Source organism: Homo sapiens, chromosome 3 (assembly GCF_000001405.40).
Source record: "Homo sapiens chromosome 3, GRCh38.p14 Primary Assembly".
NCBI classification, from domain to species: domain Eukaryota; kingdom Metazoa; phylum Chordata; class Mammalia; order Primates; family Hominidae; genus Homo; species Homo sapiens.
Genome location: NC_000003.12, coordinates 44,241,067 through 44,253,996, shown reverse-complemented (window position 1 = coordinate 44,253,996; position 12,930 = coordinate 44,241,067). Strand labels below are relative to the sequence as shown.

General features: G+C 38.4%; 1 protein-coding gene across 4 annotated transcripts in view; it reads right to left on the bottom strand.

Annotated features, from left to right (window-relative positions):
• The window catches only part of TOPAZ1 (testis and ovary specific TOPAZ 1), a 94,804-nt gene extending 82,693 nt beyond the window's left edge, over window positions 1–12,111 (bottom strand). For all 4 annotated transcript variants that reach the window (XM_011533694.3, NM_001145030.2, XM_017006361.2 and 1 more), the window contains exons 1-2: window positions 11,598–12,111; window positions 8,726–11,144 (exon numbers count right to left, since the gene is read on the bottom strand). In XM_011533694.3, coding sequence (XP_011531996.1) covers window positions 8,726–11,144; window positions 11,598–11,943 — 2,765 coding nt within the window. In that variant the 5' untranslated portion in view covers window positions 11,944–12,111. The remainder of the gene's footprint in view (window positions 1–8,725; window positions 11,145–11,597) is intronic.
• Between the last annotated feature and the right edge of the window lie 819 nt (window positions 12,112–12,930).

Below are 12,930 nucleotides of genomic sequence, written 5' to 3'. Positions count from 1 at the left end.
ATGGCCAAACACTATTCCATTTTTAATCACTTAGACAAAAATTTAAAACATATCAAAGTACACAGAATAAAATAAACACTCATAATCCCACCATTTGTTCATTTAACAAGTGGATAAGCATATCCTTCAGCACTGCGACTGCTCCTGGTTCAGAATTACTTCCTAGCCAAGAAAGATGAAAACTAAACAAAACATTTTGTATTTACTGTTCTTTGAAGTTTAGAAAACAAAGTATTTTTTCCCAACATAAACCCTAGAAACAATGAGAAGTATAGTTTAAAGGATGGGGAAATAATACAAACAGAAAACATACACAAATGCACATCTTTCTCTAACCTGGACCTTTCTAGATTCATATCCAGCTATCTACTAGAATATTTCCATCTCAGTATCTCAAAGGCCTCTTCAACTCAAAATGTCTAAATTTCACCTCCCCAATACAGCTTTTTTGCATGGGAGATGGATGGTAATGTTCTTCTCTAAGAGAGAAACCAGGTATCAACCTTAACACCTCCCTCTGCCTCACCCCCATCTGATGAACCAATATTCACTTCTTAAACCTCCCTCAAATTCACTCCCACTTCTGTGTAAAGTCACCACGTTCTTTTGGCTTATTACAATAGCTCCCTGCCAGTTTATCCTCCACACCAGAGCTATAATGATTTTTAAAAGTAAATGTGATCAAATTATCTCTCTTATTTAAAAGTCTTTCCATGAATTCCTATATGCTTAGCATAAACTTCACACTCACCATAAATTCTAGTTTGCCTAGGAAGGTCTGCTTACGCCTGTTGTCCTGGCATATTATTAACAGCTCCTCATGTCCTTTTCAAAAGCTTTGCAAACCAGAAGGTAAATTCTATGGTCATTTTACTCTCACAGCCCTTCATGACAGCTTTTGCACATTCTGTAGCTTCATTTCTTGCCATTTGAACACCAAGCCATGAGACATTATTTTGGTGTCTCAATTTTCCTCAACAATTAGCTAATTCCTACTTATCCTTTAGTGATCATTTTAAATGCCACTTTCACCAGGAGGCGTTTAACATCTTGCACTTCTCCTATCATTTTATGGTACATGCTTATTTGCCTCCCTAAAAGCACTGTGAGGACAAGGCTTATATATGTCTAGTTGTTCTCCACACATGCAGCACCTAACATATTCCAAGCTAAGGAGACCCAAATGAAGACGCCTCCCTCCTTTCCAGCAATTCCAGTACAAGGTGGGGCTCACATACAAGCAGACATAATATACTGAGATATGTGCCAAGAGAACTACTGGAACATATCCCTGGAATAATATCTCAGATGTGACTGACGGATAACTGAATGCAAAGAAAGGGACTTTCAGATAAACATATGCAAAAGGCCTAAAGTACATGGTGCATTGTAGAAACAGTGAGCTGCCTGCTATGTTTATCTTTCATTATTAGCCTTTCACCCCACTTTCCTCCCTCCAATACCATAGTTGCCAAACAGGAAATGGATACAGATCCACTAAAGAGCCTTAAAAAGCCATGCCAAGCAATTTAGACTACCCCCACGTGGCTGAAAGCCAGTGAAACACTCTCAACGGTTACTGGCAGATCAATTTCTATTTCAAATATCACTATGACAAAAGATATATTAAGAGAGTTTAGGAAGATTAAGCAGGAGCTCATTACAATAATTTAGGAGAAAAATAAGAACATAGAATTTAGAGGAAGGAACAGCCATGAGAGATATTGAGGTAATAACATGAACAGAACTAAGTGACTCAATAGAGAACTGAGGGATGCTTCTGTGGCCTCTAATTATCCTGAAAGTTCCATTCATAAATAGGTACAACAAGTATATTAGCTTAATTTCCAAGTATTAAGATAGTATTTATAATACTGCTAGTATAATTTATATAGGTATGGGAAACTTTTTACTATGAAAATAGCTAACTTACAAGGAAGGTAAAATTACATATGCAAACTCTTGTAAGAAACAGTTTATTTTTGTTTGGAATTTGAGAGACAAAAAGTTAAATTCACCTGGGTGAAAAAAAAATCATAAAGTGAGAAAAATTGTAACTTATACAAATATTTTACAGTTTTGCATTGGTGGAGTGTAGTCACAGTTCTGAATTGGTGAAATAGAAAAGGGAAAAATGAAGGGAAGAACAACGAAAGGAGATAAAAGAGATTTGGATGAGGCTACAGAAATACAGATAAGCAAAGAGAAGATCTAAGTAAAAAGGAGAGGAGAGAGTAAGACAGGTTTAAGCCAAATCTGAAGAGCCATACAGATTACCTCAAGCTTATTCTCTACCAGAGCACTTTTCATGTGGATAATGAAATCTATTTAGTGGGTCCCAACCAAGAAATTTTTTAATGAAATTGAATATGAAATATGAGACTATATCTGTTGTAGTAAGGAAAATAATTGTTTTCGTAAACCTATAATTTCCTATCTTTATAAATGTGTACCAGATTGTAATATAAAACAGATCTTTATTGTGGGTAATTGGCAAAATAGCTGGAAGATGATTGCTTTAGAATAATTACTATCAGAAACTGTTTGAAAACTATTGCCCAAGGAAAAAGTTTAGGGCTTAGCATAGTGGCTCACACCTATAATCCCCACAATTTGGGAGGCTGATGTGGGAGGATTGCTTGAGTCCAGGAATTCAAGACCAGGTTGGGCAACACAGTGAGATTCAGTCTCTACAAAAAGAGAAAAACATTAGCCAGGTGTGGCGGCATGCACCTGTAGCCCCAGCTACTTGGAAGGCTGAGGTGTGAGCATCGTTTGAGCCTGGTAGGTAGAGGCTGCAGTGAGCCATGATGGCATCACTGCACTCCAGCCTGGGCAACAAAGCAAGACCCTTTCTCTCTCAAAGAAAAAAAAAAGAGAGAAAAAAATTCAGAATGTCACTGCCTCCTTTTGAGATGCTAATTGTGGTCAGTACTCATTTATTTACAAATACCCATATTCTGTTTCTGGATAGGACTGCTACAAATTTACTGGGGCAATTATTATGCAAGTAGTAGTGGCCCTAGGCAGAGAAATATTATGGTATCCAATTCATCAAGGCAGGGGTTCCCTAGCCTGATGCCACACTATACTGTTAGGTCTCCTGATATTACAAATGTTCAATCACGTACAATACTGTTTATTCCAGCAAAGACAAAGACTAGTTTACGTGGCCTGAAAGAGAAAAGAAAAAAAATCAGAATAATGTTTCTTCATAGTCCCCACCTGCTACTTTAAAGAGGAAGCAGAGATGAGAAGAAAGGGACCTAAAGTGAAATAATGTTCTGCGGTAGTTTGCAGAGTAATTGAATTAAATATATAGGAAGAACCAAAATGCCGCTCTTCCAGTGTGCTGTTTTGCAGAGCAGGGACAGACTCTGGAGCAGGTTGCCTTGAGTTCAGATGTCAGCTCTGATACTTGCAAGCTGAGTCCTTTAGAAAGTTAATCATTTTGATTTAAGTATAAAAATAGAGTTTCAACCTCAGAATTTTTTCACTAAATAAAATAAGTAATGTATCTAGCACAGGGTAGACATTAAATATCAGTTCTTATGATTAAAATTTAATAAAAATTTAATAATTTTTATACAAATTTAATAAAAATTTGCAGTAAAGTTAGAGCACATTAGATTCTCAGCGGAATGGGACAATAAAGAAAAGTAAGTTTCTTAAAAGACAATGAATCTCAATATATAAGGGAGAGAAAAAATGATTTTTATTTTTGGTGGAAACCTGTTTTTTTTTTTTTTTTTTGTCATTTCATGGTAAAATTGGTAATAAGACTACTCTACTCTAGAAGTCCTCTCTTGGGGAACAAACTGGGATTAAGTCAGACTCTGAGAAAGTAAGTTACTTGAGACAGGATATAATTTGCCCGGCATAGATCCAGTCTATGCATGGGTCTAATGAGACTCAAATGCCTGGGCAAAAGTGGTAGGCTTTTATTTTCTGTGGATTGATATCAGATATTTATCCCTCAGAAGTTATTATTTACTGGCTCCAGAATCTACAATGGCTGCCTATGGATTTGAGACCAAGTTGTGAAGGTGGTAAATAACTGATCCCCACTGATCACCAACATCAATTCCATACTGAATTCAAATTTTTGTGCCTAACTTTCCAACCTCCTTAATCTAGCATCACCCTACTTATAAAATCTTATTTCCCACTATTGTTCAATGTCTACTTGCTTAAGAAAGAAAGGATTCACTGTCTCCATTTACATGTAATCTAATTCAAGTGCTTCAGAAATGGCCTGCGATATTCTCAAATAGGAATTGAAACCTTAATTCTCTTTCCCATCTCAATATATGAGGGACTGGACTTGCAAATGAAGGTAAATAAGACATGGACATTTCTTACCCTTAAGAAATCCAACAGTTTAGCAAGTGAGAGATTAAATTATTCCACCATGAAATCAATGCCACTACTGAGGTAGCATAAGGTGCTATGGGAATGCATAAGGGATTCTACCTCTGCCTGATGGAATCAGGAAAACCTTTAACCTTCTGTACACAATCATGTTTATATGTACTTTTACCTTTCTGCCCACATATTCCTCATTATTTCTCCTTCCCGACCAAACTTCTTTCCTTCTTCTTTGTTAATCTAAAATCCAAACTTCAAGGATCAATACAAATTTTTGCTTTTCCAAGATTTCTTTCATTCTTCTCTTTTCTAAACTCCTACTACTCTTAGTACTTCAGTTTATATACTTTTGTTTAAAACACATTAGTCCCCCACTCCTCCCCCTTCCCCCCAACTATATAGTAATTCCCCTGAATTTTTGGCAGACTCTTAAAATCTCAACAATCCACTGTATGGTATCATTCAACTGATATTTTAGCATATAATAATCCTATGTTCTAGTACAGATTAACTGTCCAGCACTGACTATTATGGAAATCCTCAGATCATTTCCAATGATACAGGCTATTTCAAACGTTTTACCAATTTCAGCCATTACACATTTCCAAGCACATCAGTTCAAGTTTTAGTGAATGAGCTCTAGTATGCTTCTAATGTTTTAGATTTTAATATGGGCTTTCCCCACTGTGGAGACTAAAAACAAATAAGCATTCTATCATGACTTAGACACCTTCCAAATTCTCCCCAATCTGGTCTGAGAATACTTTCCCCAGTGATTAAGTCAGCTCAAGTTTGTCTACTTGTTTTACCAAAAGGGGCAGTCCAGAGTTTCTGACAATATATGGGCCTCACCCTTTCATCTTCTACTTTTATTCCTGTAAAATAAAAACTCATTCCAGCAGCCTTCAGCCTCTCAGTGTCTTAGAAGGGAGAAAATGGAGCATAAGAACTAGTAACTGACTGGTAAAAGGGACATAGCTGAAATTTCAAATTATATTTTAAGCTTCATTTAGTTCTAGAACCATTAACAAGTTTCTGTGCAACTACTGATAGATTCTCTGGTTATCAGGTCTTCATTTTTCCCTGTTAAGGTTTATCCTAGCACTGTGGATGACTACAAAACTAGTATTTCCAGTGCAGAACAAATATAAAAATATTAAAATAATACTAAGAAAATGTTTAAGTTTGTTTAAAAACAGAAACTTTAGAAGTAGATAAAAGGCAAAGAAGAGCCAATAAAAGTATAACTGGTGCTTTTGAAGTGAAGAAAAATGAAGTTCAAAGATAGTAACAAAAAAGCTATCTGAAATAAACACTTGATACTGCACACCAAAATGGCTAACGTTGTCTCAGGAAAAAGTGATATATAATTACCATTCCCAAGGTGGAAAACAAGAAGAAAAAATAAGGGCAGCTTAAAGTGGAGCAGTGGGAGTATTAGTTTGGCCTCAAAGTTTTTTACTACAACACATAATGTCAGAAAGCAGGAGAGCAATGTCTATATAATTGTGAGGGGGAAATATGTAAACTAAGAATTTTACACACAGACAACCTGCTCTTAGACAAATAATTCTCATGCACCCAAGATTTTAGGGAACACAGTAATCGTGAACTCTTTAAAAATTTCTTTGCTCTGAAATCTAGCCAACTAAGCGATGAATCAAAATAGTCAAGATTAGGCCAGGCACGGTGGCTCATGCCTGTAATCCCAGCACTTTGGGAGGCCAAGGCAGGCAGATCACTTGACATCAGGAGTTGGAGACCAGCCTGGCCAACATGGTGAAACCCTGTCTACTAAAAGTACAAAAAAAATTAGCCAGGAGTGGTGGCATGTGCCTGTAATCCCTGCTACTCAGGAGGCCAGGGCAGGAGAATTGCTTGAACCTGGGAGGCATAGGTTGCAGTGAGCCGAGATCCGCCACTGCACTCCAGCCTGGGTGACAGAGCAAGACTCCCTCTCAAAAAAATAACAAAAATAGTCAAGATTAGAGGAAAGTAAATAGGACTGGTGGTAGGGACTGAACCAATTTAAATAGAGTACTAATAATGAGAATCATTGGAGTTCAGGTTATTGAAGGAATGTACATGGCACAAGGCTTAGTAATATAAAATAAACTTTAAACAAAAATGTGGGGTAGGCTATATTAGGAGAAAAAGTGTGTAGAAATATGTTCATCTTTCATATTAAGAAAGCAAACACTGCTGTCTAAAGTTAGAAAACAATTTTTATAAGTGAAGCTAAAACTCAAACTTTTAGACAAGTTTCCTTATTAACTTGAGAGAGAACTTCAAGAAACTAATTTCTTGTGGTAAAGAAATATATTAATTCAGCAATCCATTTCATTCCACTTTGATTTCTCTGCCTCTTCTGGTTAAGTGTAAATGAAATTTTCTTTAGCATTTTTACTAAAAAATGGCATGATCCAATTTTTCTAATATTATATCCACTTATATGTATAGACAAATGTCTGAAATGATGCATACAAATAGCAATTAATTTGTTATTTGGGTGGTGGATTTCCCCCCCAACACCGCTTTTTACTTTAATGAAAATGTATCATGTTTTAAAATCAGCCATTATTCTTTAAAAAAAGAATAAAGAACAAAGGTCCTGCACTTTAATTCACAACATGTATCTCTTTCTAAATTTGGCTTAGCTCACTGTCAACATCTTGTCACTCAACAGAGAAGTTTGCTCTTGAATGCAGAATTTACTCTGATTTTCCTTTGTATTCCTCCAAGGAAGTATGGTATAACAGTTAAAAATGCCCAAACCTTTTCTATTCATTATTTAATTTAATCCTCACAACCCTGAGGCAAGTACTTTCCCTTTTTACAGAAAGATGAAATAATTTGCCTAAAAGGTCACATAGTTGTTAGGTGGTAACAAGAAGATTCAAAAACCAAGGTCAGACTACAAAGACAATCACTAGGTTTAGAGTAAGACAGGGCTAGGTTCAAATCCAGATTCTGTTACTAGGAGTGTGATCTTGGGCAAGTGACAAATTTGTCTTCATTTTTTTCCATCTTCAAAACAGGCAGATTACCAGGCTACCTCATTACATGGTTAAAAAAATCAATAAAACTCTTGGTTCTCCATTTGGCACATAGACAGCATTATATTTGGTGATAAGTTTCAAGTTCTTATAACAATAAGACCATCAAGAAGAGTATGATACCACAAAGGTAACTGCAAATAAATGGCAGAGAAACTTAAGTCATGTACCACTGAATCTTAATGAAAAGTGTTTTCATTTTTCTTTGAGTCTATTCACAAAATATTATGATATTCAGGTATTATATAAATAACGGCTTCAGGAATTATAAAATTAAGTAAAATATGACATAATATTAAATCAATTTGGGGCCAAACAGAATAGATTAAGTTCCTGAGCATGAAGGTTACTACTTGGCCCCATTTAAAGTTGCATTGGGCAAACTAGTCCTATTTGAGGGAAAAAATCATCATTTAAAACCATTGCCTTAAAAGTAAAACCACGAATAAATTTTATGCTGTTTATCTCTGAAAATTAGTTTAACTTTTGACTCTACTTTCAAGCCCTAATTACTTCAAATAAAAATTTCCAAGGCGTCTCTGTCCCCTGAAAAATGAACTTTTTATCGAACAAGGAGGCTATAGAAAATGGATTAAAATAGATAGCACTGATCTTAATAAGTAACCTGGCTGAAGTAAAAGTTTATCTGTGTATTTATAATAATTAAAGAACATTTGAAAATAAACTTAACTTTTGAAAGAAGCAATCTCCATCACTTAAAAAGCCACTCTATGGGCTGGGTGCGGTGGCTCACGCCTGTAATCCCAGCACTTTGGGAGGCTGAGGCGGGTGGATCACGAGGTCAGGAGATCAAGACCATCCTGGCTAACACAGTGAAACCCCGTGTCTACTAAAAATACAAAAACAAATTAGCCGGGCATGGTGGTGGGTGCCTGTAGTCCCAGCTACTTGGGAGGCTGAGGCAGGAGAATGGGGTGAACCTGGGAGGCAGAGCTTGCAGTGAGCTGAGATTGCGCCACTGCACTCCAGCCTGGGTGACAGAGCGAGACTCCGTTAAAAAAAAAAAAAAAAAAAAAAAAAAGCCACTCTATGAACCATAAATTCTGAACAGCTAATCTTTTCTATCTTCCAAGATACATATAATTCATTATTTTGACTCTAAGTTTTAGCATAATGACATTTCCAGGTATCAGCAGTAATAATGGTATATAACATTTAATAAATAATTGGGTTAAAAAATAATGGAGCTTCAATATCACTGAATACATTAGTGAAACTTAAGAGACTGCTTTTCTAACCCCCAACAATCTGCACTAAAAGGAATACTTGAACATGCATACCTTAAGTCATCACTTGGTTCTTTTTTTACTGGAGTTTCCATGTACTTGGAGTCTGTTGATTGGTGCTCTCCAGCAACATTGGGCTCCTGGCTTATCTTTGGGACCTCAGAAGTAAATGAGAGCTCCCCTTCATTGGAGACTCCAAAGAGGTCTGGGTCATCTTGAATTACATCAATTAAGAGGACGTCATCTTCATATGCTTTAAGAATATCTGGAAACCCTACCTCTGAAAAATTCTTAGTTATTTTTCTACCCCTAACTTCACTGGACACTGGTCGGAATGTTTCTTGTTCATTACAGCAGAAGGAAGGACTTTTCTCTACATACCCAGGATCACAAGAAAAAGCATTATTTTCAACTGTGAGAGAAGCAACTTCTTTATTAGAAACAATATTGCCTGGTTCAGAGACGTGATTAGATGGTTTGCTATTGTTACCTTGCTTTGTAAAGCTTGGAGAAATACTATAGGATTTCTTATTGTAGAATGAGTCAGAACTAGCTTGCACTGGAGTTACACTATTTCGTATGCTCAAAGTTTGAGGTCCTAACATCATCATGGAGACATTTTCTTTACTCCTGTTCTGTCTTACGTCTGCTCCAGATAAATTGTCCAGAAGTTCTAGAGGACTGTAAGCTTCTCTCTCTGATGACTTGGCATTTACTTCTTTTCTTTTTTCTGATTTATTCTTAAGTAAAGGAATTTTAAAATTAGTCAGCCGTCCTGTGTTCAATATTTTAACCAAGTCTGGAACTATAAATGTTTGTTGAGCAATGCATGCTTTTCGATGAATAGTTTTGCCTGCAGAGTTATTTGCTTCCTGACCATCTTTGGAAGTCGCTGTCAAATTAAGTTTCGTTAAATTTCCTCTAGCTTTTTTTTTATTTCCCGTTAAGCTTTGAGTCTCACTGGTTAATTGAGTATCTTCAGTAGTGTTAGAAATTACCTCTGACCCTCTTCTGCTCAGTTCCTCTGATTTTATCTTTTTATCATCCTTGATTATAGGTTCCTTTATAACCATTAAAGTAGGTTCTACTGCAGAAACTGAAGACAAACAATTAGAATTAGAATCTAATTTTTCTTTACTTGAAGATTCAGTGTTTGTTTCTGTTAAGGAACTTTGTAATAATAATTTGGAGTCAGTTAAATGGGTCTGGTTTGTTTGGTGTTTAGGGACATCAACTTGCCTACAACTTTCCTGAGACCCACGAAGAAAGTAACTTGATTCTGGCAAGGAAGCCTTTTTCCAACACCAGGCAGATATTCTAGCACATGAATAATAGGGCCAAGTTCTTTTACCAGTCATAGGTATTGTTCTCTGACAGCTTAACTTCAATTCTTCAGATGCACTTCTTAAGTCTTCCCGTGAAGATCTCCTTTCAATATGGTACTCATTAGGTGATTTCCCTATGAAGCTTTTCATCGATTTAAAATCCTCTTTCGATGCCATGCTTTCATAACCTAACGGCTCTGAAGCATTCTCTGTTTCTTCTTTCAAAAGTGGTTCAATGGTTTTCTGAAACACAGCATTTACATGATGTTCAGAACTTGTTTCTTTTTCTACTGTTTCTGGGACACTTAATAAATGATCCATCAAAGAGACTGTATTATGGCTTACTTTTCTCAAAACATTTAAAGGACTTTTAGTCTCTGCTTCTTTACCATCAGCAATCATTTGATTTTCTTGCAACATCAACTCAGACTTGTTATACTCATTAGAGAAGTTCATCTCAGTAACTGTTTCATCTGCTTTTTCAGACAACTTCATCCTTTTCCTGGGTTTTCGCCCAACACTGCTCTCCTCTATTGAATATTTATTTTTTTCATGTTGAAGGCAGGAAAGCAAGCCATTGGTTTTACTTTGGTATAAATCACTCTCTTCTGGTAGTAACTTATTTACTCCCATTACATTTTCTTCTGTTTGTAAGAGCTGAGGAATACTATTTGTGTCACTCTTCTCTGCAAGACTCCTAAGGTTTTCTTTCTTTGAGAAATTTTCTGCTACATGCATACATCCACCATCAGGTTTATATGGCAGGTTGTTTTCATCATTACAACCCTTGGAATGGGGGAAACAATTGCAATCACGTAATTTTAAAACGGAATTATTTTCTACTTCAGGTGACAAGATATTACAAGAATATTTTGGAGTATTCTTGTACAGTTCATCTTGGAATTCAACCTTAATATTTTGTGTAGCCTCATTTTCGGTTATTTTGAGAGGTGGGTTTTCTAAGCTTTTAAGTTTTTTATTTCGAATTCTTCTTTTAATACCTTCTATTATACTTTCCTTACCCAAAGACTGCAAGCATTCCACTGTTTGGAAAGATTCCGAACTGGTTAATGATTCCTTTCTTACCAAGTCAAGCCCTGGCTGTGGATCATCACTTGAGGCTTCAGTAACTTTTCTTTTTTCCTTGGCTGATCAAAACAACAAAATATATCAGAAAAGATTTTATATTGAGGAGGAAAATGCAATTATCATTGAAATTAAAAATTGTGAGGCTATCATTTTTATTTCCCTGAACAGCTGTATGTAAATACACATTTGTTTTTAAATGAAAGCCTTAATTTCTGTTAAGGAATTACATATAAACCTGTATAAATTCTAAGGCAACTGAATAACCCTTATAACATCGTCATCTCATACTAGCCAAAATGGACCACAAGTAGGAATTCCTCCTATCATAATTCTGACCAAGGATTCCTAACAGGGAACACCCCTTTTAAGGAAATCCATTTTTCCCATCTCCTGGTCAACTATGTGCATCAGAAATAACCATGCAGGTTCAAGTTAAAGACTAGTGGTAAAACAAAGATGGAGCACGCTGAGGTACAAGGGCTAAAGGTAAGTGATCGTGGATGCTTTCTTACTGTGTCTTTCCGTTTGCAAGGGGAGTTCAGCCTCCTTTGCTGCTTCTAGGCCTCGCGGGTCTGACGAGTCTGACGGGCTCACCGGGCCCCTGCGCCCCTCCACCTGACGCCTTGCGGCCTTTCCAGCCCCTGATGCTGCAACCGACTTATCACTTTCCACCTCGCCTCTCCCAGGGGTGGCCCGGGCCACCATTCTCCTCTTTTGCTTATTTTCCCGGCACCCCCCGGCCTCAGGGCCACAGCCTCCCGCCGCGCCTGGCCCTGGCGCCTGCCGCTTCTGCAGGTTTCGCACATTGCCTTCAGGCCCTGAGGCCGTCGTGGGGCCCAGGGGTGGAGGTCGTCGCATGTGCCCCGGGGCCGGCCCGCTGGGGCCCCTCTGCACCAGCTCGCAGGAACCCACCGCGGTGCAAACGCTGCTCCCGCCTGGAGGTACCTACTGCCCTCTGACCCACCCCACACCGCCAGTCACCACAGCCCGGGGCCGGAAGCGGAAGTGGGGCGCGTAAGCGGAAGTGGGGCCTCGTGTCTGGGGCCCCGACTGGTGCTTCGGGATCCAACGGGCAGGAGAGCCGCGAGTTCCGTGCCAGCGTCTTTTTGGAGGGCCTCTCGCGGAGCTCCGAGGGAGGCAGTGGCCGCGCCCGATTGCATTGCGAGGGACTGTAGTGGGGCTCATCACATAACAGGCCTCCGTTGGCCCTTCCACTAGGCTGAGCTTCCTGGAACCGTTCAGGGCTCATTCTCCCAGCTGCTGCTCTTCGCGCCTTGGCTGCTCGCAAAGGCCACTGTCAGTGGCTTGTAACTCCACACCAAGTCTCCTAGAAGCCCCTGTCTAACTGTCTTCCTGATATATTCACCCGGATATTCCATATTCCACAGGCACCTCACACTCAGATGGGCAAACCAGCTCATCGCTCCTCACAAGCTTGCTCCTTTCACATAGGTGGATGCGCCACCATGCGCCTAATTGTTTAAGCCAGAAACCTAGAAACCATCAGAGACAACCTTCTTTCTACTTCATCCCTCACATCCACTTTCACTAGATCTACTTGACTGTATTTTGTTTGTCAGCCACTCTCCCGTTTGCCATTACCGTGGCTCTGGCCCTCAGACTTTCTTGACTGACCTACTGCATCAAGCCTCTGAATCCATCCTTGAGCTATTCCAGTCAAACGTCCACCTCCTTGCCAGGCCATGCCTCTCCGATGACAGGAGATCCTAGCACTTCTCAGTTTGACCCTTCATGAACTTCTTTTGCTCAAAGACTAAAACTAACAGAAATCCAAACTCTGGTGTGGTATCTGTGACCCTATCTGATGTGGCCTCTGAAAAATTA